General features: G+C 45.9%; 1 protein-coding gene across 13 annotated transcripts in view; it reads right to left on the reverse strand.

Annotated features, from left to right (window-relative positions):
- TRMT2B (tRNA methyltransferase 2B) overlaps window positions 1–24,768 on the reverse strand; it is a 78,746-nt gene extending 53,978 nt beyond the window's left edge. Inside the window, exons 1-7 of one of the 13 annotated variants that reach the window (NM_001167970.2) lie at window positions 24,474–24,768; window positions 24,301–24,390; window positions 14,699–14,969; window positions 13,974–14,028; window positions 10,574–10,708; window positions 9,631–9,730; window positions 8,270–8,340 (exon numbers count right to left, since the gene is read on the reverse strand). In NM_001167970.2, the coding sequence (NP_001161442.1) occupies window positions 8,270–8,340; window positions 9,631–9,730; window positions 10,574–10,708; window positions 13,974–14,028; window positions 14,699–14,946 (609 nt within the window). In that variant the 5' untranslated portion in view covers window positions 14,947–14,969; window positions 24,301–24,390; window positions 24,474–24,768. Of the gene's footprint in view, window positions 1–8,269; window positions 8,341–9,630; window positions 9,731–10,573; window positions 10,709–13,973; window positions 14,029–14,698; window positions 14,970–23,907; window positions 24,394–24,440 lie in introns of those variants that run through there. The other 12 variants (NM_001167971.2, NM_024917.6, XM_047442532.1 and 9 more) reach the window with 12 other exon arrangements.

Here is a 25,215-nt window from a genome sequence, read left to right on the forward strand (position 1 = left end):
GCCTCAGCCTTCTGAGTAGCTGGGACTACAGGCGCACGCCAACAAGCCCAGCTAATTTTTGCATTTTTTTTTTTTTTTTTAGTAGAGACAGGGTTTAACCATATTGGTCAGGCTGGTCTTGATCTCCTGACCTTGTGATCCGCCCACCTTGGCCTCCCAAAGTGCTGGGATTACAGGCGTGAGCCACGGACTCCTGTTTCTTACAACCTCACTGACCGTTCCTTCAGTCTCCTTTACTGGTTCTTCCTCTTCTTCCAAACCTCTTAAAATGAGAGTGCCCCAGGGATTGGTCCCTGTTCCTCTTCACTTTTCTATCTACTCTCACTCCCTTGGTGATCTCTTGCCAGCCTCATAATTTTAAATGACATCTACATGCTAACAACTCCTGGATTTCTCTCTCTTGAACCCCAGTCGAATATATCCAACTACTTAACATACCCATTCAGATGTTCAATAGGCACCTCAAATACAACATGACCAAAACTGAACTACTCATCTCCTCCAACCCAAATCTGCTCTACCAGTCTTTCCAGTCTCAGTTGACAGTAACTTCATCCTTCCACTTGCTCTACACAAAACACCTGGGGCTTTTTTTTTATATTAAGGTATAACTGACATATAAAATTTGCACCTGTTTTTATGTATACATTTTGATGAGCCTGGACATATACATATACTTGGGATACCAACCCCCACCAGCCAAGGGTACTAAACACATTCATTACCTCCAAAAAATGTCCTTGTTAGAGCCATTTTTTACTTCTTGCTCTTTTTTTTTTTTTTTTTTTTTTTGAGACGGAGTGTCGCTCTTGCCACCCAGGCTGGAGTGCAGTGGCGCGGTTTAGGCTCACAGCAACCTCCACCTCCTGGATTCAAGCGATTCCCCTGCCTCAGCCTCCCCAGTAGCTGGGATTACAGGTGCCCACCACCACATCCGGCTAATTTTTTTATTTTTAGTAGAGATGGGGTTTCACTATGTTGGCCAGGCTAGTCTCCAACTCCTGACCTCAGGTGATCTGCCCACCTCAGCCTCCCAAAGTGCTGGAATTACAGGCGTGAGCCACTGCGCCCAGCCACTTCTCTCTGTCTCTTATACCTCTCACTCAATCCATCAGGAAATCCTGTTGTTCTACCCTCAATGTATATCCATCTCCACTGTTACCACTGATCGATCTACATCATCTCTCACCTGGATTACTGCTGCACAGCTTCTCTCAATTTGTCTCCCTGCTTCTATCCAACCACGCCCCCACCAATAATCCATTCTCAACACAACAGCCAGATTGATCATTAAATCATATCATGACATTCCTCCCTCACCCCATCAAAACCTCTGATGGTTCCCCATTTCATTCAGAATGATGTGGTTTGGCTCTATGTCCCCACCCAAATCTTATCTCAAATTGTAATCCCCACATGTTGGGGGAGTGGCCTGGTGGGAGGTGATTGAGTTATGGGGGTGGACCTCCCCTTGCTGTTCTGGTGATGGAGTTCTCACAGGATATGGTTGTTTGTTAACTGTGTGGCACATTCCCCTTCTTCTCTCTCTCTCCTGCTTCACCATAGTAAAATGTGCTTGCTTCACCCTCCACCATGATAGTGTGTCCTGAGGCTTCCCAGGCATGTGGAACTGTGAGTCAATTAAACCTCTTTTCTTCATAAATTACCCAGTCTCAGGAAGTTCTTTATAGCAATGTGAGAACAGACTAATACACAGAATAAAAGCCAAAGTCACTACCATTAACTCTCACCTCATCTCCTACTATTCTTCCTCTTATTTGCCTGGGTCTACTGTCAATTCCTCCAAAAAGCCAGCCACACGCTCATCTTGGGGTCTTTGCAATAGCTCTTTCTTTTGCCTAAAATGTTTTTCCCTCAGACCTTTGCATGGCTAACACCTTCACTTCCTTTAAGTCCTTATTCCAGGGTTTCTCAACATCAGCACTACTGACATTTGGGGGCAGAAAATGCTTTATTGTAGGGGGCTGATCCATGCACTGTAGGATCTTTCATTTCATTTCATTCATTTCTGCTCAGAAAGAACAGAGCAAGATTCTTTCTCATAAATAAGTAATAATTAAAATTAAATTAAATTAAATTAAATTACAACCCATACTTCCTCCAGCCCCCACAACTTTTTATCCTCCTTACTCTATTTTTTCCCATGGCACTTATCACCTTTCAACATATCATATGATTTACTTATTTTTTAAAAAATCTGTCTCCCCCACAACTAAAATTTAAATTACACAAGGGAACTTATTTTCTTCATTACTGTATCCTAAGCATCTAGAATAGTGCCTTGAACTTATAGGGGTGCAAAAGTACTTGTTGAATAAATAAATGAAAGAACAAAGATAATGGGAGAGAAGACAACAGAAAAGCAAACTCAGTAAAATCTCAGAAGATGGACAGCAGAGTGAAGTGACAAGTGACTTAGCAAGGTGAAGGAAGCCACATCTGGAGTGACCACAGAGGGGGACCTGATAAGTCAAAAGGCTTATCTGCTCTACACAATCCTGGTAAGGCTCACACCTAAAGGTGCAAAATACTGCAGGAAGCTGAGATGGGGTAAGATGCATGACTAAACTCAGGGTTTGGCTAAAAAGTCTAGATGCAAAACTGGCAAATGTTGGCCAGGTGCAGTGGCTCACACTTGTAATCCCATCACTTTGGGAGGCTGAGGCGGGTAGATCATTTGAGGTCAGGAGTTTGAGACCAGCCTGGCCAACATGGTGAAACCCCGTCCCTACTAAAAATACAAAAGTTAGCTAGGCACAGTGGCACGTGCCTATAGTCCCAGCTACTTGGGAGGCTAAGGCATGAGAACTGCTTGAACCCAGGATGTGGAGGTTGCAGTGAGCCAAGATCACACCACTACACTCCATCCAGCCTGGGCGACAGAGTGAGACTTTGTCTCAAACAAACAAACAAACAAAAACTGGCAAATGTCTTCATCCTACCAAAAACTTCCATCTTCCTCTACCAGGAGACTGAAGATGTTTTTCTCAGGAGAAACTGAACCCATCAAAGTTCAGAACTTGGAGATACCGGACACATTGATGGTGGCAGAAAGATGGAAGCAGGAAAAGCCTATATAGATCTGCATTCTTTTTTTTTTTTTTCAGATGGAGTCTCGCTCTTTTACCCAGGCTGGAGTGCAGTGGCGCGAACTCGGCTCATTGCAACCTCCGCCTCCCGGGTTCAAGCGATTCTGCCTCAGCCTCCTGAGAATCTGGGACTATAGGTGCCTGCCACTGTGCCTGGCTAATTTTTGTAGTTTTAGTAGAGATAGGGTTTCACCATGTTGGTCAGGCTAGTCTCAAACTCCTGACCTTGTGATCCGCCCGCCTTGGGCTCCCAAAGTGCTGGGATTACAGGCGTGAGCCACCACACCAAGCATAAGTCTGCATTCTTAATGGTGTGAGATCTGGGCCCCTTTCTATACCTCATTCCAGAAGGCCAGCAGCCAGGCAGGAGATTTGGATATAATTTTTTATAGGAACTGAATAACCTCAGAGAAAATAACTCAAGAGACAGAGACATGGAAGACTTGTCTGCAATCACCAGCAGTAAATCCAAGAATCAGTAAACCCACTCAAGATGAACTATTAACTGGTCAAAGCCTCACTATTTTTTTTTTTTTGACACAGGGTCTTGCTCTATCGCCCAGTTTGGAGTGCAGTGGCATCATCTCAGCTCACTGCAGCCTCGAACTGCTGGGTTCAAGCAATCCCCCTGTCTCAGCCCTGCAAGGAGCTGGGACTACAGGTGAGTGCCACCACCCCCATCTAAATTTTTTTGTATTTTTAGTAAAGACAGGGTTTTGCCATGTTGTCCAGGCTGGTCTTGAACTCTTAAACTCAAGTGATCCACCCACCTCACACTCCCAAACTGCTAGGATTACAGGCATGAGCCACCACACCGGTCCTAAGGCCTCACTCTTAAATATGAACAGCCAGCCAAGTATTACCAGCTATTTGGTTAACACCTCCATTATAAAAGACAATGCCCAAAACAAATACACAGGAAAAAAATCCAGAAGAAAGCAGACACTTCAAACAGGAAAAAAAGCAAATAGAGGCTGGGCATGGTGGCTCACGCCTGTAATGCTAACACTTTGGGAGGCAAAGGTCGGCAGATCACCTGAGGTCAACAGTTCGAGACCAGTCTGGCCAACATGGCAAAACCCCATCTCTATTAAAAACACAAAAATTAGCTGGGCGTGGTGGCATGTGCCTGTAATCTCAGCTACTCGGGAGGCTGAGGCAGGAGAATTGCTTGAACTCGGGAGGCGGAGGTTGCAGTGAGCCAAGATTGCACCATTGCACTCTAGCCTGGGCAACAGGAGCAAAACTCTGTCGTAGGAAAAAAAAAAAAAAAGCAAATAGAAAGATAAGTTAATGTTACATTACTAAAAAAGAACAGAATGCTACATGAAAGGAGCAATTAGAGAACAAGAAAAACCTTTTGAAAATTAAAGACACAATGATAGAGACAAATTCAATAAAGCTGTTGGTATGTAGGTCAATAAAATTTCACAAAAAGAACAAAAAGGCAAAGAGATGAAAAACAGGAGAGAGAAATGAACGGAAGATAACAGAAGCAATCCATAAGGTCCCCAAATCTAATAGGAAGAATAGAGAGCACATAGAAAATGAGGGAGAGGGGACCGGGGGTGCCTATAATCCCAGCACTTTGGGAGGCCAAGGTGGGTAGATCATTTGAGGTCAGGAGTTCTAGACCACTCATGCCAACCTGGTGAAACCCCATCTCTGCTAAAAATACAAAAATTAGCCAAGCGTGGTGGCAGGTGCCTGTAATCTGAGCTACTCGGGAGGCTGAGGCAGGAGAATCACTTCAACACAGGAGGCAGAGGTTGCAGTGAGCTGAGATCACGCCATTGCACTCCAGCCTGGGCAACAGAGTGAGACCCCTCTCAAAAAAAAATTCAGGAAGAGGGGCTGGGTGCGGTGGCTCACACCTGTAATCCCAGCACTTTGGGAGGCTGAGGTGGGCGAATCACGAGGTCAGGAGATCGAGACCATCCTGGCTAACACAGTGAAACCCCGTCTCTACTAAAAATACAAAAAATTAGCTAGGCGTGGTGGCATGTGCCTGTAATTCCAGCTATTCAGGAAGCTGAGGCAGGAGAATTGCTTGAACCCGGGAGGCAGAGGTAGCAGTGAGCCAAGTTCACGCCACTGCACTCCAGCCTGGGCAACAGAGCGAGACTCCATCTCAAAAAAATAAATAAATAAATAAAATAAAATATAAAAAAAATTAGCTGGGCGTGGTGGCTGGTGCCTGTAATCCCAGCTACTCGAGAGGCTGAGGCAGGAGAATCACTTGAACCTGGAAGGTGGAGGTTGCAGTGAGCCAAGATCGCACCATTACACTCCAGCCTGGGCAAAAAGACTGAAACTCCGTCTCAAAAAAAAAAAAAAAAAAGACTAGAGACCAGCAAAAGAAGCCCCAGGATAACAGCCATGCAGAAGACAGGCTGGGCCTAGGATGGCAGACTCCAGGAAAAAGGTCTTCAGGGAAAAACTTCAACTGAAGCTTTTGAGATATGGAAAATATTGATGAATATCTGACAGATCTTATAAAGCATTTGGGAAGAAATTGGCGGCCAGGCACGGTGGCTCACACCTGTAATCCCAACACTTTGGGAGGCCAAGGTGGACGAATCACCTGAGGTCAGGAGTTCAAGACCAGCCTGGCCAACATGGTGAAACCCCATCTCTACTAAAATTACAAAAATTAGCTGGGAGTGGTGGCGGGCCCCTATAATCCCAGCTACTTGGGAGGCTGAGGCAGGAGAATTGCTTGAACCCAGGAGGTGGAGATTGCAGTGAGCCAAGACTGCGCCATTGTAATCCAGCCTGGGCGACAAGAGCAAAACTCCAAGTCAAAAAAAAAAAAAAGAAAGAAAAGAAATTAGCAATTGGTTTACAGAAAATGAAGGAGGCTGGGTGCGGTGGCTCACACCTGTAATCCCAGCACTTTGGGAGGGCGAGGCGGGCGGATCACCTGAGGTCAGAAGTTCGAGACCAGCCTGGCTAACATGGTGAAACCTCGTCTCTACTAAAAATACAAAAATGGGCCAGGCGTGGTGGTGTGTGCCTGTAATCCCAGCTACCCAGGAGGCTGAGGCAGGAGAATTGCTGGAACCTGGTGGGTGGAGGCTGCAGTGATCCAAGATCTCGCCACTGCACTACAGCCCGGGCGACAGAGCGAGACTCCATACACAAAAAAATAAAGAAAGAAAGAAAGAGAAGAAAGAAAACAAAGCAAATGGAAAAATGAGGTAATTATTCATGCCAATAAAAACAAAAAGATGCAAAATACATTATACTATTAATATGTAGGACTATGCAACTATAAAAAAGTCAAGTATATTATTCTGTGAAAAAAAATCAAGATGCAGAACAATGTATACAGTAGGCTGCCTTTTAACTATGAAAGCGGGGAAGACACAAATATCTATTAACATTTCCTTTTTTTTTTTTTTTTGAGACAGAGTTTCACTCTTGTTGCCCAGGCTGGAGTACAGTGGCATGATCTTGGCTCACCGCAACCTCCGCCTCCTGGGTTCAAGGGATTCTCCTGCCTCAACCTCCCAAGTAGCTGGGATTACAGGCATGCACCACCACATCCAGCTAATTTTGTATTTTTAGTAGAGACAGGGTTTCTCCATGTTGGTCAGGCTGGTCTTGAACTCCTGACCTCAGGTGATCTGCCCGCCTCGGCCTCCCAAAGTGCTGAGATTACAGGCGTGAGCCACCGTGCCTGGCCTACATTTTTTTTTTTTTTGAGACATGGTCTCGCTCTGTCACCCAGGATGGAGTGCAATGGTGCGATCTCAGTTCACTGCAACCTCTGCCTCCCAGGTTCTAGCGATTCTCATACCTCAGCCTCCTGAGTAGCCAGGACTATAGGCGTGCGCCACTACGCTCGGCTAATTTTTGTACTTTTAGTAGAGATGGGGTTTAGCCATGTTGGCCAGGCTGGTCTCGAACTCCTGACCTCAAGTGATCCACCCGCCTTAACCTCCCAAAGTGCTGGGATTACAGGCATGAGCCACCATGCCTGGCCTACATTTTCTGAAATCAGCAAAAATAAAAAAAAAAATTTTACCCATGGCAGGGAGGGAACTGGGTAGAGGGGTCAGAGGTGAAAGCTAGACCTCCCTGAATATACCTTTATTTTGTAGACTTGATTTTGGAACCTAGTAAATATTTTTTTAAAGTATAAAACAAAATTTAAATTTTAAAAAATCTGTAAAATTTGAAAGCAAAATGGAAAAAAAAAGAACCTGTGTATCAAGTATCCAGTTAGTGGCTTAACTACAGAGTGGAATTATTTCAAGGGACACAGTAATTTGACATAAAGAACTAGAAAAAGACCAGGCGCAGTGGCTCACACCTGTAATCCCAGCACTTTGGGAGGCCGAGGTGGGTGGATCACTTGAGGTCAGGAGTTCAAGACCAGACTGGCCAACATGGTGAAAACCCATCTCTACTAAAAATTCAAAAAGTAGCTGGGTGTGGTGGCATGGGCCTGTAGTCCCAGCTACTTGGGAGGCTGAGGCATGAGAATTGCTCAAACCCAGGAGATGGAGGTTGCAGTGAGCTGAGATCATGCCTCTGCACTCCAGCCTGGGCGACAGAATGAGACTGTCTCAAAAAATAAAAAATAAAAAATAAGTGTCTCAGAGGTCAGGCACGGTAGCTCATGCCTATAATCCCAGCATACTCTGGGATACAGAAGGTGGCAGAATTGCTTGAGGCCAGGAATTCGAGACCAGCCTGCACAACATGGCAAGACCTCATCCAAGAAAGAAAGAAAAGAAAGAAAGAAAAAAACGTATCAGAGGCCAAGCTCATGATGTACTATCTTATCACCACTTCACCTCATATTCCTCAATTCTGTTCTGCTGAAAACACTAGCCTTCCAAATACTTCAGACACCTGACACTTGCTATAGTACCCTCATCAGCACTTCTTCCTAATACATCCCTACTATGAAAAAGTCCTTAGATGCCTGATACTTACAATAATGGACACAGTTCTCTCTTCCCCTCTCCACTCTTTCTGAAATGAAAACCTAGCAATGTTTTCTCCATAGTTAGAAGGTATGCTTTCAGTACAGAGCCCCTCCTTCCCTCTAGCACTAGAATTGGCTCTATTATCAAAATGTCAGGGATGTTGCTGTTGTAGACTACAATGCTCCAGGCCATTCTCAACCAGCTCTTGTTCCATTTTACCTGCGCCACTTGACTGTGTTTCTCAGGGATGTTTTTCAGATGATTAGACTGCACACAGACAACGTTCCCATCTATGGAAAGAAAAATAATTTGCATGGTTTTATTCTTAAAAGATTATTTAAAAGAAAATGCCTGGCAACTCAAATTTCTATCGTCAAAGTGGCATATGTAGATATGAAGAAGCAAATACAATCTCATGGCCACTTTTCAGAGAAAACCTAATTATTTCCTGGTCTAGCCATTAAGCAGCTAATTATTTATGAAGCTACTCAATATTTTCTCTCACGCCACAAATGCACTATATGACGTCTGTTTTCTGTTCAGATTTTAAGAGGGAAATAAAATGTAATGGGTTTTATTTTTCTATTACTGAATAATAGAACACTGACGTCACAGTCATTTAATTCAGCACACAGGAGGGAAAAAAGCCAAGTGCACGCCCTAACGAACTGTAGTTTAAGGCATATGGATATTAAACTGTGTGACTAATATCAAATGATGGTATTTCAAGTGGATTTATTGAAAATGGGCAAACAGAAAGCTCAGGAATGGGCCAAGCACAGTGGCTCATGCCTGTAATCCCAGCACTTGGGGAGGCTAAGGCGAGTGGATCACCTGAGGTCAGGAGTTCAAGACCAGCCTGGCCAACATAGCGAAACCCCGTCTCTACCAAAAATACAAAAATTAGCTGGGTGTGGTGGTGCACACCTGTAATCCCAGCTACTCAGAGGCTCAGACAGGAGAATCACTTGAACTCGGGAGGCGGAGGTTGCAGTGAGCCGAGATCACACCACTGCACTCCAGCCTGGGTGACAGTGCGAGACTCCATCTCAAAAAAAAAAAAAAAAAAAAAGCTCAGGAATGGAATCTGGGAAGGGATAACTGAAAGTAAGTTTCAGAAATATGCCACTGTGATTCCCCTCACCGATACACACCTCCCCTACCAATTCTTTTAAGGTAGATTTACCACAGAAATAATTTTCAGAGATATGGGGATGTGAAATAGGAAGACAACTCTAACAAGGAGATTGCTCCCACTGCAGAAAGCAGCATAAAATGATGATGACAACAATGATGATGAGACAGCAGCAGCAACAACGCCAGCATTTACTAAGTGTTTACTAGGTATCAGGCATATATGGCTTTTAGAGGAAGAAAGGGCGAGGGTTGCATTTTCTATCACTGTGTTACAATGACTACCCATTAGCAGTATCCGTAATCAACCTTGTGATCACGTTCTGCATCAAAGACTTCCAATTTAATCTTCTTCTTTAAGGCCACCGTATTTTCCACTTCTACTGACACTTCTCTGCACCCTTTCATTCCTCTTCAGTCTTTGGTTTATACAACCTTCAACTGACCTCTCCAAGTTCCCAGGTAGAACCCCACAGTCTTTGGATTGCCATCTGGACCTCGGTTCACAGAGAAGGTGGACTTATTTCGGTAACCATTGATGACAGGCTGGAGAGGGCAGAAGGACAGGAGGGGGATGAGAGGTCAAATGAAACCAAGGAAGATAACAATAAAGGGAAAGCAGGAATGTTCTCTGGATGAGGACAAATAAGGTTTGCTTGGAGGGTATGGCATATGTGAAAGTCTGTGGCTAAGAAGATCAAGACAGTCCATAGAAGGGGAGTTCCAATCTTGCCATAAAGCAGGAGTCAACAAACTACTTATGTCAAGAGCCAAAGAGTAAATAATTTAGGGCTTTGCAGGCCATATGGTCCCTGTTGCAACTACTCAACTCTGCCATCATAGTGCAAAAGCAGCCATAGACAATACATAAACAAGTGAGCTTGGCTGTGTTCCAATAAAACTTTATTTACAAAATCAGGCAGCAAGACAGAATTGGCCTAAAAGCTGTAGTCTGCTAACCCCTGCCATAAATTAAATTCCACTCTTCTGAGGCCACATTAGAAAGGTTTCCAATGTTACATGGGCAAATTGTGTGGGGATGGCAGGGAGAAAGGTTTCCAAAGTTTGGAACCTTTCTAAGGAGGTAATAGTGGAGTGGTTGATACAATGGAGTCTCTATCAGATAGACCTGAGCGTGAATCTCAGCTCTGGCCCTTTCTAGATGTGTGTCCTGGGCAAATTACTAAATCTCTCTGGGCCTCAAGGTCTTCATCTATAAAATGATAGTATCTACCCCTCCAGGTTATTATAAACAGTAAAATGTGACAATGATGCATGATAATAATTTAGCATAGGGCCTGGTCCCTAGCAAGTACCCAGTAAATATCAGCTGATGTTATTAGCATTAAGGGGCCTTAATAGATAAGGAATAGGGAGGTGGGGGCTTACAGAGGGTATAATAGGATGGAGAAGACAAGAGAGCCTCTCAGATTTGGGTACAGCCGTTGTCACACTGACTCCATTGAGCATTTGGATGTAAGACTCTAGTCTTTGTAAAATTTTCTTCTGAGCTGCAAATTTCACCTGCAAAAGAATATAAGCTATGAAACGAAATACTGGCTGGGCACGGTGGCTCACGCCTGTAATCCCAGCACTTTGGGAGGCCGAGGTGCGTGGATCACCTGAGGTTAGGAGTTCGAGACCAGCCTGACCAACATGAAGAAATCCTGTCTCTATTGAAAATACAAAAATTAGAGGGGCGTGGTTGTGCATGCCTGTAATCCCAGCTACTCGGGAGGCTGAGGCAGGAGATTCGCTTGAACCCAGGAGGTGGAGGTTGTGGTGAGCCGAGATCACACCATTGCACTACTCCAGCCTGGCCAACAAGAGCGAAACTCCGTCTCAAAAAAAAAAAAAAAAAAAAAAAGAAATGAAATACTTTTGTAGCTTCACCGCAAAGAATGGTAAACAAACAGGACAAAAGAAGAGTGTCCCACAGATTCTTGGCTCATGGTCTCAACAGATGAGGAACCCAGAATGAAGGAACAAAAACAGACCTAAAAAGGTAATGAGGAAAGGTCAAGAATGAGCTCTTGTGCAAGCTCATCATTTTATCTGACCTTTCAGACTGAACACTCAAGGTATATGTCAGTTCTGCCCAGCAGAGCTTTCCACAATGGAAATGTTCTGTTTGCCCTGTGTTCTACGTATACAGTGGCCACTAGCTATATGTGGTTACTGAGCACTTGAAATGTGGTCAGTGGGAATGAAGAACTAAATACTTTTTTAATTTTTTTTAGAGAGAGGGTCTCACTCTCGTCACCCAATCTGGAGTGCAGTAGTAAGATCTTGGCTCACTGCAGCCTTGATTTCCCAAGCTCAGGTGATCCTTCCACTTCAGCCTCCCAAGTAGCTGGGACTACAAGCACACGCCACCAAACCTGGCTTATTTTTTGTATTTTTAGTAGAGATGGGGTTTCGTTATGTTGCCCAGGCTGGTCTCAAACTCCTGGGCTTAAGCGATCCACCTGCCTCAGCCTCCCAAAGTGCTAGGATTACAGGGGTGAGCCACCATGCCTGGCCTAAACTTTTTGTTTTTTTATTTTTTTGTTTTTTTTTGAGACGGAGTCTCACTCTGTCACCCAGGCTGGAGTGCAGTGGCGAGATCTCTGCTCACCTGCAACCTCCGCCTCCTGGGTTCAAGCGATTCTCCTGCCTCAGCCCCCCGAGTAGCTGGGATTACAGGCGCATGCCACCACACCTGGCTAATTTTTTTGTATTTTTAGTAGAGATGGGGTTTCACCATGTTAGCCAGGATGGTCTCGGATCTCCTGACCTCATGATCTGCCCGCCTCAGCCTTCCAAAGTGCTGGGATTACAGGCGTGAGCCACCACGCCCGGCCCTAAATTTTTAATCTAAATTTTAATTAATTTACAGAGTCAGCCCTGCTATAACATGACGTAAGTGTTCCTATATCACACTAAGCAAAATCACTCACAAAAAGATCTCAAGGCTCATGGGAAAAACAGGATTAGGCATACAACATTCCAAAACTTTATCAATAACACCCACAGAAAAGATTAAGAACCTAATAAAAACAGCAGCACTGTTTTGTACATGGCAAGTGGTTAAGAAATATGAATAGTAAGCTAGGCACGGTGGCTCACGCCTACAATCCCAACATTTTGGGAGTCTGAAGCAGGCGGATCGCTTGCGTCCAGGAGTTCAAGACCAGCCTGGGCAACATGGCAAAACTCTGTCTCTACAACAAATACAAAAAAATTAGCCAGGCATAGTGGTACACGCCTATAGTCCCAACTACTAGGGAGGCTGAGGTGAGAGGATCCCTTGAGCCCTGGAGGCAGAGGTTGCAGTGAGCCATAATCACACCTCTGCATTCCAGCCAGGCAACAGAGTGAGACGCTATCTAAAAAAAAAAAAGAAAAGAAAAGAAACATGAATACTACGATAAGGATAACACTTTACCCTGACAATGACCTGAAGTTTACTTATGGAAGTGGGTATCAGAAGAACTGCAGCTTGGGCCGGGTGCAGTGACTCACACCTGTAATACCAGCACTTGGGGAGGCCAAGGCAGACAGATCACCTGAGGTCGGGAGTTCAAGACCAGCCTGGCCAACATGGTGAAACCCTGTCTCTACTAAAAATATAAAAATTAGCCTGGCATGGTGGCATGTACCTGTAGTCCCAGCTACTGGGGAGGCTGAGGCAGGAGAATCACTTGAACCCGGGAGACAGAGGTTGCAGTGAGCTGAGATCACACCACTGCACTCCAGCCTGGGCAACAGAGCCAGACTCTATTTAAAAAAAAAAAAAAAAAGAATTGCAGCTTGGAGTTATCATGAAGTCATAAAAAGAGGGCTATGTGAGTCAGATGGAAAGTTCTAACACCAGATGTGGATGGGTATGGCTCATAACAAACACACTGGGGGAACTGAGGGAGCTGGTAGATGTTTGAGGTGCGTGCATGCATTCATTTTACATGTTCTTAAATAGCTCGGTTCAGCTGAGTATGGTCTCCTTTCATCTAGCGTTTCTTATGGACAAAATTACTTCTAAGTAAACATGAAATTTTCATTATGCTCAAATTTTCCCTAATATGTCAATTAGTTAGAACAAATTTCTCTTTTCTAAATAAGCAGTAGAGCTTATTTAGAATTAAGCAGTAGAATTGACTGTATTCAAATTTAAATTGCCACATATGGCTACTGGCTACCATGTTGGAAAGCACAGCTACATGTGAAACAGCAAGAGCACTGCTACTCACATACACAGAGCTATAAGTATAACAAAAACGCAAGGAAGAGAGGAAACAGACATTTGGATCTATGGGTCTAGAGTGAGGAAGATATAATTGGCCTAAAGTTCCAATTTTGGAGTCAATAGCATAATGAGTTTAAGAAGCTGCTTGGGATTCTGCGTAGAACTGTCCAGTCAAGGCCCGGCGCGGTGGCTCACACCTGTAATCCCAGCACTCTGGGAGGCCGAGGTGGGCAGATCACCTGAGGTCAGGAGTTCAAGAGCAGCCTGGCCAACATGGCCTATCTCTACTAAAAATAGAAAAATTAGCTGGGCATGGTGGCGCACGCTTGTAATCTCAGCCACTCAGAAGGCTGAGGCAGGAGAATTGCTTGAACCTGGGAGGTGGAGGTTGTAGTGAGCCGAGACTGCGCCACTGAACTGCAGCCTGGGCGACAGAGCGAGACTCCATCTCAAAAAAACTTAAAATTAAAAATAAATAAATAAATAACTGCCCAATCAAGCTTCCTACGAGTCCAGCACCATTCTCCTGGAAAGGAGGGGTAAAGACTTAGGCTGGGCACCTACCTTGAGCTGTTCTTCATAGCTCAACCTCCAGAGTGGTGTCACAACATCAGCCAGCCTTGAATAAAATAATTCAGGCAATTCTTTAATTATATAAATATGTACTGAGTGCCTACTATGCATAAGTACTTTCAGAAGACCTAACTCTCATGCTCTCTAGGGAGATGGAGTCTGGGAGAAGAGCCCATTTTGATGTTGTCTACTTAACAAAGCAGAACAGATGAGGCAAACCTAATATAAGAAAAATCCAGATTTATCAGGAGGTAATTAATCATATTACAAAAGGCTTCACTGTTGGGTTTCTTTAAATAGCTTACCTTCCTAATGCTTTTAAAATATAATTTGATGTAGAAAATACATTTGTTGCATAAATGAGGTATATTTGTGCTTATATGGCTGCAATGGGCCTACTCATCTCTAATCCATCTAATATCATTCTGGGTTCCTGGTTTTCAGCAAACCTGTCCTGGACTTATTAAAGACAAGGTCCCAGATTAGTATCTTCTTTCTGATAAAAACACACTCAAAGACAAAGAGAACGGTTTCTGCAACCCCAAAGCATTTCCACCAATATTCTTCAGACGTCCTCAAATTTGCCCTGGGTATCCTACCTCAGGTGGCCCCTCAAATCCTTGTAATGCTACATTAGTTACACTAGGAATACAGAATTTCAGCAGATGTACAGATTGAGACCTGCTAAGGAGAGAGGACATCAGCCTGGCCTTTACCTTTCCTGCCAGGAACCATCTAGTGGTCCAAGATGGCTTGGTTTCTTCTGACTTTTTTGTCCTTTCTGACATTTCGTGGCTATCACACGGGTGAAATCTCCCTTACATACTGTGCCCAGAAAGAGCTGTGACCATCCTGGTGGATTTCTGGCATACCAGGGAAGCAGTCCTGGTTTGGAGAAGAGACCCACCATGGAGATGAAGTATCTGAGGCTGTGCAGTGGGACTCTTCTCTTAAGGCCTGCCATCCAAAGAACACACTGAAATCCACCTGCATGAAAGGTACACATACAGAGGTTGGGAAATAGAAGCACAACTATCAAACCCATTCATCCACTTATAAACCCTTATGGAACTGAAGCGCCTAGCAGAATGCTGGCACACAGCAGACAGTAAAAGCAAGCCTGTTGAGCAGAACTGAATTACTGTATGCAAGGTATGTTTCGGTTCCCAAAATAAAGAGATGAGGAAAATATAGTCTCTGTCCTCCAGGAAAGAGTTCAAATCTCTGGATATATTTCTGTGACAAATCTCTTTCCCTATTCCACCTTCCTAACCAACAGCCAATCAAGCAGCTAATATTTAGTAAGTGCTTACTATGTGCAAGACATCATGCCACACTAGACACCAGAGGGGTTACAAAGGTTACAATCTAATTAAGGAGATTAAATGCTGACACAGGAAGACATTAGGAAATAACACAGTATGCTTGGTTCCTGATGAGTGCTCAGAAAAGGCTTCCCAGAGCAGGGAGGGATGGCGCTGAGTCTTTGTTTTTTAAGACAGTCTCATTCTGTCGCCCAGGCTGGGGTGCAGTGGCATGATCATGGCTCACTGCAGCCTTGACTTTCTAGGCTCAAGCAATCCTTCCACCTGAGCCATGCAAGTAGCTGAAACTACAGGTGTGCACTACCACACCATTCTTTTAATTTATAGTAGAGACAGCCAGGAGCAGTGGCTCACACCTGTAATCCTAGCAGTTAGGGAGGCCGAGGCAGGTGGATCACCTGAGGTCAGGAGTTCGAGACCAGCCTGGCCAACATGGCAAAACCCCATCTCCACTAAAAATACAAAATTAGCTGGGTGTGGTGGTGCATGCCTGTGATCCCAGCTACTTGGGAGGCTGAGGCAGGAGAACTGTTTGAACCTGGGAGGCAGAGGTTGCAGTCAGCCGAGATTGCGCCATTGCATTCCAGCGTGGGCAACAGAAGCAGAAACTCTGTCTCAAAAAAAAAAATAAATAAATAAGGTGGGGAGAGGTGGCTCACGCCTGTAATCCCAACACTTTGGGAGGTTGAGGCGGGCAGATCACGAGGTCAGGAGTTCAAGACCAGCCTGGCCAACATGGTGAAACCCCGTCTCTACTAAAAATACAAACATTAGCCGGGTATGGTGGCACACGTCTGTAGTCCCAGGTACTCAGGAGGCTGAGGCAGGAGAATCACTTGAACCTGGGAGGCAGAGGTTGCAGTGAGCCAAAATCGTGCCACTGCACTCCAGCCTGGGCGTCAGAGTGAAACTCCATCTCAAATAACAAACAAACATAGTAGAGACAAGGTCTTGCTATCTTGCCTAGACTGGCCTCAAACTCCTGGGCTTAAGTGATCCTCCCACCTAGGCCTCCCAAAGTGCTGGGATTACAGGTGTGAGCTGCCACGCCCAGCCAGAAACTGAGTCTTAAAGGATGGCAGAGAGATGAATTAGATGTTTGAAGGACAGCAGGGAGACCAGTCTGACTAAAACAGTAGTTCACCTTAAGGAATAGAGGCAACAGGCTGAAAAGTTAAGTGAAAGTGAGATTTAAAAGAATGTTCATGCCTGAATAAAACATGGACTTTATTGTGAAGGTAACAGTGAGATGATGGAGGCTTTATGTAGAGAATTAAAAATGAAATAAGGAGGCTGATAAAAAGCAAGTTCGGCTGGGTGCAGTAGCTCACGCCTGTAATCCCAACGCTTTGGGAGGCCAGAGCGGGCAGATCACAAGGTCAGGAGTTCGAGACCAGACTGGCCAATATGGTGAAACCCCGTCTCTACTAAAAATACAATAATTAGCCAGGCGTGGCGGCAGGCACCTATAGTCCCAGCTACTCGGGAGGCTGAAGCAGGAGAGTCGCTTGAACCCGGGAGGCAGAGGTTGCAGTGAGCCAAGATTGTGCCACTGCACTCCAGACTGAGTGACAGAGCGAGACTCCGTCTCAAAAAGAGAAAAAAAAAAAAAAAAAAAGCAAGTTCATGTTTGAGACATATTGTGTTTAGAATGGTAGGGAAATATCCAAATGGAAATGTGTAGCACGTAAGTAGAGAAGCAGTAGGATAAGTCGAGAGAGATGGCAGGGATACAGATTTCATTGAGTGTCTATAAGAAATACAAGCTGTAAGATGAAAAAGGGCTTTGAGGCCAAGCACGGTGGCTCATGCCTGTAATCCCAACACTTTGGGAGGCCAGGGCGGGCAGATCACAAGGTCAGGAGTTCCAGACCAGCCTGGCCAACATAGTGAAACCCTGTCTCTACTAAAAATACAAAAATTAGGACCGGGCGCAGTGGCTCATGCCTGTAATCCCAACACTTTGGGAGGCCAAGGCAGGTGGATCACGAGGTCAGGAGTTCGAGACCAGAAACCCCGTCTCTACGAAAAATACAAAAATTAGCTGGGCGTGGTGGCATGCACCTGTAGTCCCAGCTACTCGGTAGGCTGAGGTAGGAGAATTGCTTGAACCCAGGAGGCGGAGGTTGCAGTGAGCTGAGATCACGCCACTGCACTCCAGCCTGGGCGACAGAGTGAAACTCGGTCTCAAAAAAAAAAAAAAAAAAAAAACCCTACAAAAATACAAAAATTAGCCAGGCATGTTGGCAAGTACCTGCAACCCCAGCTACTTGGGAGGCTGAGGCAGGAGAATTGCTTGAACCTGGGAGGTGGAGGTTGCAATGAGCCGAGACCGTGCCATTGCACTCCAGCCTGGGCAACAAGAGCAAAACTCTGTCTCAAAAAAAAAAGGGGGGGGTGGGGTGCTCATGTCTGTAATCCCAGCACTTTGAGTGGCTGAGGCAGGAGGATCAATTGAGCTCAGGAGTTCGAAACAAGCCTGAGCAATATAGTGAGACCCATCTCTTAAAAATAAAAAAGGGGGCTGGGCGCAGTGGCTCACACCTGTAATCCCAGCACTTTGGGAGGCCGAGGTGGGCGAATCACCTGAGGTCGGGAGTTCAAGACCAGCCTAACCAACATGGAGAAACCCCGTCTCTACTAAAAATACAAAATTAGCCGCGCATGGTGGCACATGCCTGTAATCCCAGTTACTCGGGAGGCTGAGGCAGGAGAATCGCTTGAACTCAGGAGGCGGAGGTTGCGGTGAGCCGAGATCACACCATTGCACTCCAGCCTGGGCAACAAGAAAGAAACTTCATCTCGAAAAAAAAAAAAAAACAATAAACAAAAAAACAGGCTGGGTGTGGTGGCTCACGCTTGTAATCCCAGCACTTTGGGAGACTGAGGCAGGCAGATCACCTGAGGTCAGGAGTTCGAGACCAGCCTGAGCAACATAGTGAAATCTTGTCTCTACTAAAAATACAAAACAAACAAACAAACAAACAAACAAAAAAAATTAGCTAGGCATGGTGGTGGGCACCTGTAATCCCAGCTACTCAGGAGGCTAAGGCAGGAGAATCACTTGAACCCAGTAGGTAGAGGTTGCAGTGAGCCTAGATAACACCACTGCATTCCAGCCTAGGTGACAGAGTGAGACTCCATCTCAAAAAATAATAATATTAATAATATAACAAAAATTTTAAAAATTAAGAAAATAAAAATAAAAAAAACAGGCCAGGCGCAGTGGCTCACACCTGTAATCCCAGCACTTTGGGAAGCTGAGGGGGCAGATCACTTGAGGTCAGCAGTTCGAGACCAGGCTGGCCAACATGGTGAAACCCCGCCTCTACTAAAAATACAAAAATTAGCCGGGCATGGTGGCATGTACCTGTAGTCCCAGCTACTCGGGAGGCTGAGGCATGAGAATCGCTTCAACCCGGGAGGTGGAGGTTGCAATGAGCTGAGATCACACCACTGCACTCCAGCCTGGGCGATATAGTGAGACTCAGTCTCAAAAAAAAAAAAAAAAAAAATCAATCAATCAATCAAAACAAAATTTTCTTTAAAGTACCTTGAGTAAAGGCAAGAGCAAAAGGCCAATGACTGTATCAGGGAGAAAGGTAATATTTGGAGAGCAAGAAGAGATGCTGGTGTCTCAGAAGGAGAGTCAAGAGAGCCTGGAGGCCTGGAGGCCAAGGCATATACCTCTGAGGAAGATAGTATCACATCCATTAGGTCTGGGACAAAAGAAAGAAGGGAAAGGAGGCAATGGGAAGTGGCAGGCAGTGGGGACATATGAAGGCTTTGAGATTTTAGGAGTACAGATCCTAGTCAGACAGCCAGACCTGTCCTGGGTGGTCCACTGGCCCCACCACTCACTACCTAGGTGGCCGTTGCCAAGTTAATCATTCTCTCTGACATTCCTTTTTTTCACTTGTAAAATGGAGACAATGGTATCTACCTTATATAGTGGTTGTAAGAGTTGAAGATAATTAATAAAAAGTACCTAGGCTGCTGGTCACAGTGGCTCACACCTATAATCTCAGCACTTTGGGAGGCCGAGGCAGGCGGATCACCTGAGGTCAGGAGTTCAAGACCAACCTGACCAACATGGAGAAACCCTGTCTCTACTAAAAATACAAAATTAGCCAGATGTGGTGGCGCATGCCTGTAATCCCACCTACTCAGGAGGCTGAGGCAGGAGAATCGCTTGAACCCGGGAGGTGGAGGTTGCGGTGAGCCGAGATCACGCCATTGCACTCCAGCCTGGGCAACAAGAGCGAAACTCCGTCCCCCCAGCAAAAAAAAGTACTTAGGCCAGGTACAGTGTGGCTCACGCCTATAATCCCAGCACTTTGGGAGGCCAAGAGAAGAGGACTACTTGAGCCCAGGAGTTTGAGACCAGCCTGGACAACACAGTGAGACCCCGTCTCTACAAAAATTAAAATATTAGCCAGGCATGGTGGCATGCGCCTGTAGTCCCAGCTACTCGGGAGGCTGAGGTGGTAGCATCACTTGTGCCCAGGCAGCCATGATCATGCTCCAGCCTGGGTGACAAAGCAAGACCCTGTCTCGAAAAAAAAAAAAAAAAAGTACTTAGCAGAAGATTAGACAGGTATGTTTGTGAAACTCTGAGCAGAGTCCAACACCTGGCAAAATATCTTCAGTAAGCATTACTAGTAACTGTCATGACGTGTTTAAAGACAGTATTTAACTGAGTAGAGGTGGCAACACTGAAAGAGGGGAGTGGGAGAAGGAACAATGGGAGTAACTATGAGACAAAAGCTGGAAGAGCTAACATGGGTGACATTGAGAACACAAGTAGAGGGCCTCCCTTTGCAACACAGGACTCTATGTTATGTCTACATTGCTGTGAAAGCACCTGGTTTTTGTTTGTTTTAAAAATGAGATGGGGTTGGCCGGGCATGGTGGCTCACACCTGTAATCCCAGCACTTTGGGAGGCCAAGGTAGGCGGATCACCTGAGGTCAGGAGTTCGAGACCAGCCTAGCCAACATGGTGAAACCCCGTCTCTACTAAAAATACTAAAATTAGCCGGGCATGGTGGCAGGCACCTGTAATCCCACTACTCGGGAGGCTGAGGCAAGAGAACTGCTTGAACCTGGGAGGCAGAGATTGCAGTAGGCCAAGATTGCAACAGAGCAGAACTGGGCGACAGAGCGAGACTCCATCTTAAAAAAAAAAAACAGAGATGGGGTCTCGCTATGTTTTCCAGGCTGGTCTCAAACTCCTGGACTCAACCAATCCTCCTGTCTCGGCCTCCCAAAGTGCTGGAATTATAGGCATGAGCCACCATGCCCAGCCATAAGCACCTATTTTAAGTACTTGGGACACTTGAATGGACTTGGCCTGACATTCTGTTAACCTGCTGTGAAATTTGTATTTTGCCCTTAAGCTCTACCTTGGATTTCATCCCAATGTTAAGTCATAGCCTAATTCAGAATTTTACATTTATACACATACACACACACACACACACACACACACACACACACACACAGAGAAAATTATTGCTAAATTAACATTCCATGATCAATAAGCAACATGGAGGATGACGACATAGGTGCTGCAATATTTAGCCCATACACCATTTTGTATGATTACAAAGTACTAAAGAAAGTGACTGTCATAGCATGTGACATTTGGGGGATTTCAAATTTTTTACAGAATATACACTTAAGCTGGCCCAGAGTTCAGGTGTTAATGATAGCACTCTCCACTCAACACCCACCCCCATCAAGAAGCAACAAGACAGTACAGTTAAGAACACAGGCTTTGAAGCCATGTTCTTTGTTACCAAAAAAAAAAAAACAGTCTTACTTTGTCGCCCAGGCTGGAGTGCAGTGGCACATTCTTGGCTCACCGCAACCTCCGCTGCCTGTGTCAAGCCATTCTCCTGCCTCAGCCTCCCGCGTAGCTGGGATTACAGGCACCCCCCATTGCACCCAACTAATTTTTGTATTTTTAGTAGAGACGGGGGTCTCATCATGTTGGCCACCCTGGTCTCGAACTCCTGACCTCAAGTGATCCACCTGCCTCAGCATCCCAAAGTGTTGGCATTACAGGCATGAGCCACCACATTCGGCTGGAGCCATGTTCTAATCCCAGCTCTACTTCTCACTAGCTATGCGGTTTTAGGTAAGATATTAATACTTAAGTGCTATGAATCTCAGTGTCACCATCTATACAAATAGGACTGAGAACACCTATCTTTCACAGTTTTGGTGAGAATTAAAAGCATTCAAATATATGACATGTTCAGGACTGTGCTTAAGACAGCCAGTGCTCAACATGTGTCACTGCTCTTTCTTAGGCTCTGATTCAAAGCATATCACTTGGTTTCTTCATGCCTCAACATCTCCAACCTGCAAAACTGACAAGATGTAACAATGCATGCAAGTGCTGTGAGGATGAGTACAGTTTGTGGGAAATTTAAAAAACAACATACACACACATAGACACATAAATTTTCTGACCCTCTACATGAGTGCCTGCTGGAGTGTAGTGAGGTTATGGCCTGTGCTGGACTACCTGTTAATACTCTCAAAAGTGTGTGGCAGCCGGGTGCAGTGGCTTACAACTGTAACTCCCAGCACTTTGGGAGACCAAGGCAGGAGGATTGCTTAAGGCCAAGAGTTTGAGACCAGTCTGGGCAACATAGCGAGATCCGGTCTCTACAAAAAGTTTTAAAAATTAGCCAGGTGTGGTGGCACACACCTGTAGTCCTAGCTACTTAGGAGGCTGAGACAGAAGGATCACAAGTCCAGCAGTTGAAGGCTGCAGTGAGCTATGATTGTGCCATTGCATTCCAGCCCGGGAGGGAGACCCTGTCTCCAAAAAAAAAAAAAAAAAAAAAAAAAGCCAGGCGGGGTGGCTCAGGCCTGTAATCTCAGCACTTTGGGAGGCCAAGGAGGGTGGATCACTTGAGGTTAGGAGTTCGAGACCAGCCTGGCCAACACGGTGAAACCCTGTCTACCAAAAATATACAAAATTAGCTGGGTGTGGTGGCGCACGCCTATAATCCCAGCTACTCAGCAGGCTGAGGCAGGAGAATTGCTTGAACCCGGGCAGAGGTTAAAGTGAACCGAGATCATACCACTGCACTCCAGCCTGGGCAAGAGACTCCTTCTCAAAAAAAAAAAAAAAAGTGTGTGGCCTGTGAGAATGTACGTATTCGATATGGAGGATGGCAAAAGCCAGAGAAAGGAAATGAATGAAGAGGCAAGAGACATAAAGAATGACATGGTGGGTCTGAGAAGGCCAGTGGCCTTGAAGCCCAGACTACAGGGGAAGGGAGTAGAGCTGATCCAGGAGAGGGGTCCTGTCCCTCCAGTCAGCAGGAAAGTCAGGAGGAAGGAAACTGCAGGCCCATTTGAGGATTTGCAGAGGAGGGACAAGGAAGCTGGGGAATTTGAAGATAGCTATTCCCACCCCAACGACATTTAGACTTTTTTGTGAGTGTGTGGGTCCTCTCACTGGTGACTCTGCCATGACTGTAGTTCATTTGCCCTATACCCCAGCAGGAGGGTCCTTGTCCATCTAGGTCTCTTCCAAATTATCAAGTATGGTTTAAAACAGGACCTTATTATTTCAAGGTGCCAACCAGCCATCATTCTAGGTAAAGAGCCTGTCATATTTAGTAACTTCTGTGGTGAAATTTCTTTTTCAAGGCAGCACACTCATACTAGTCAAGGTGAGTTCTGTTTCTTTCTTAATGTCAGGGGAGACATTTGTTCACAGAAGAGACTATTTTCTTTTTATATTTTGTCCTGTTTTAAATAAGTGCTTGGGGCCAGGTGCGGTGGCTCACGCCTGCAATCCCAGCACTTTGGGAGGCCGAGGCTGACAGGTCACCTGAGCTCAGGAGTTTGAGACCAACCTGACCAACATGGAGAAACCCTGTCTATACTAAAAGTACAAAATTAGCCGGGTGTGGTGGCGCACGCCTGTAATCCCAGCTACTCGGGAGGCTGAGGCAGGAGAATCGCTTGAACCTGGGAGGCAGAGGTTGCGGTGAGGCGAGATCACACCATTGCACTCCAGCCTGGGCAACAAGAGTGAAACTCTGTCTCAAAAATAAAAATAAAAAATAAAAAATAAATGCTTGGGGGCCAGGCTCGGTGGCTCTCGCTTGTAATCCCAGCACTTTGGGAGGCCGAGGCAGCCGGATCACAAGGTCAGGAGTTCGAGAGCAGCCTGACCAACAGAGTGAAACCCAGTCTCTACTAAAAATACAAAAATTAGCTGGGCGTGGTGGCAGGCGCCTGTAATCCTAGCTACTCCAGAGGCTGAGGCAGGAGAATCACTTGAACCCGGGAGGCGGAGGTTGCAGTGAGCCGAGATCGCACCACTGCACTCCAGCCTGGGTGACAAAGCTAGACTCCGTCTCAAACAAATAAAAAATAAAAATGCTTGGGAGTTTTTTCCTCAGCAAAAAAAAAAAAAAGCGTGTGAGCAGTCGTGCTCGACTGTTCTATACCTGCCTCAGGAATTGATCAGGAAGAGTCCTGGAGTCCAGAGTAGCCCAAATAGGAAGGCAGGCTAACTCTCCTGTGCTCAGAGAGGTTCAAATCAAAGAGACTATGTGGTAGGTCTCACCTGCGCAGGGCCAAGGATCCCTTTTGGAGCAAAATGTTCACCCACCGACAAGGGTCCTGCTTGCACTCTCTGCTCACCCTTCCTTCAGCTGGACCGGCTCCAGACACTATTCCTTGCTAAACCAAACAAGCAAATGGGTTGACTGCTGTGTCGTGTCCCGAATGCAGCCCACAGGCAGTCAGGTCCTTGTCTCCCCAACAAGACTCCACTAGCCCTTCCATTCCCTTCTTCTTTAGGCAAGTTCTGCCCACTGTGTCTGTAGGAAGGGTTAACAAAGAGGAGACACTAGGAAAGGCTACCACTAAACTTGGCCGGTCTGCAGGGCCCGGGAAGGACAGAAAGTAAGGGAGTGGGAGGAGTTAGGGCACAGGCCCACGCTGGGCCGTACACGACCTTGCGCAGTCACCGTCGGGTCCCGTCTCCAGCCCCGCCTGCCTCCTCCATTCCCCGCCCCGCGGACAGTTTGGCATAGTAGGGAGTTTTCTGTAAAGCAAGGGTTAAATCAGGTTTTCCGGGCTATTTATCCACCTTACCTTCCTTCGTAACCAATAAATCCTCTTACAAACCTGAGGCGGCAAACTAAAAGGCCAGCGGATGGCCTGGTTTGCTGCGGCGGGGAAACAGTCACTTCCTGGTGCGCAAGGCGCCTCTACTCCCGCCGCACGCGCAGCCAACCCTTGGCAAGCGCGGCGGGACACGGGGCTCCTCCCAGCGTCGGCGAGGCAGCAGGCTCCGGCACCTCGACTCCTCTCGGGGAGTACCCCTCCCTACTTTGCTGGGGGAACCTTCTATGGAGACCTTCCTTAAAAGCACTCATAGCCCTGACACCCGCCGCCTTCCTTCTCTAAGTTCTCCTCTCCTCCCCTCCCCGGGGCCCCGCCCACCACCTGCTCTTTCCTCACCGTCCCATTGGTGGATCTACATAAGAGACTCACGAAGACGTTCACACTGCAGTGTTAACTGCGTTAGCCATCCCAGGGGTGCTTGCAGTTTAAGTCTTCCAACTCAAGGAATAGTTTTCTCATGATAGAATTGCAGACATCAGATCCCTAACGGGTTGGAAGATTGGGAGATGAGAAACAGGGTGGTTCCGTGAAATGGCATCCTTTGGTAAAAGCCAGATCTATTCTGGGCCGTGGGGTTTCTCAAGCATTCATTCTCTTTTAACACTGCATCAGAAAAATACTTTATAGTTTCTTCACTGGATCCCACTCAAGACTATTAAATCCTAAACCCTCAGAAATAATCTTTTTCTTCAACTACAGAACTCAAAAAGAGGACAGATGTCTCTTTTTGGTTGATTCACTA

Source organism: Homo sapiens, chromosome X (genome assembly GCF_000001405.40).
Source record: "Homo sapiens chromosome X, GRCh38.p14 Primary Assembly".
Lineage (NCBI taxonomy): Eukaryota > Metazoa > Chordata > Mammalia > Primates > Hominidae > Homo > Homo sapiens.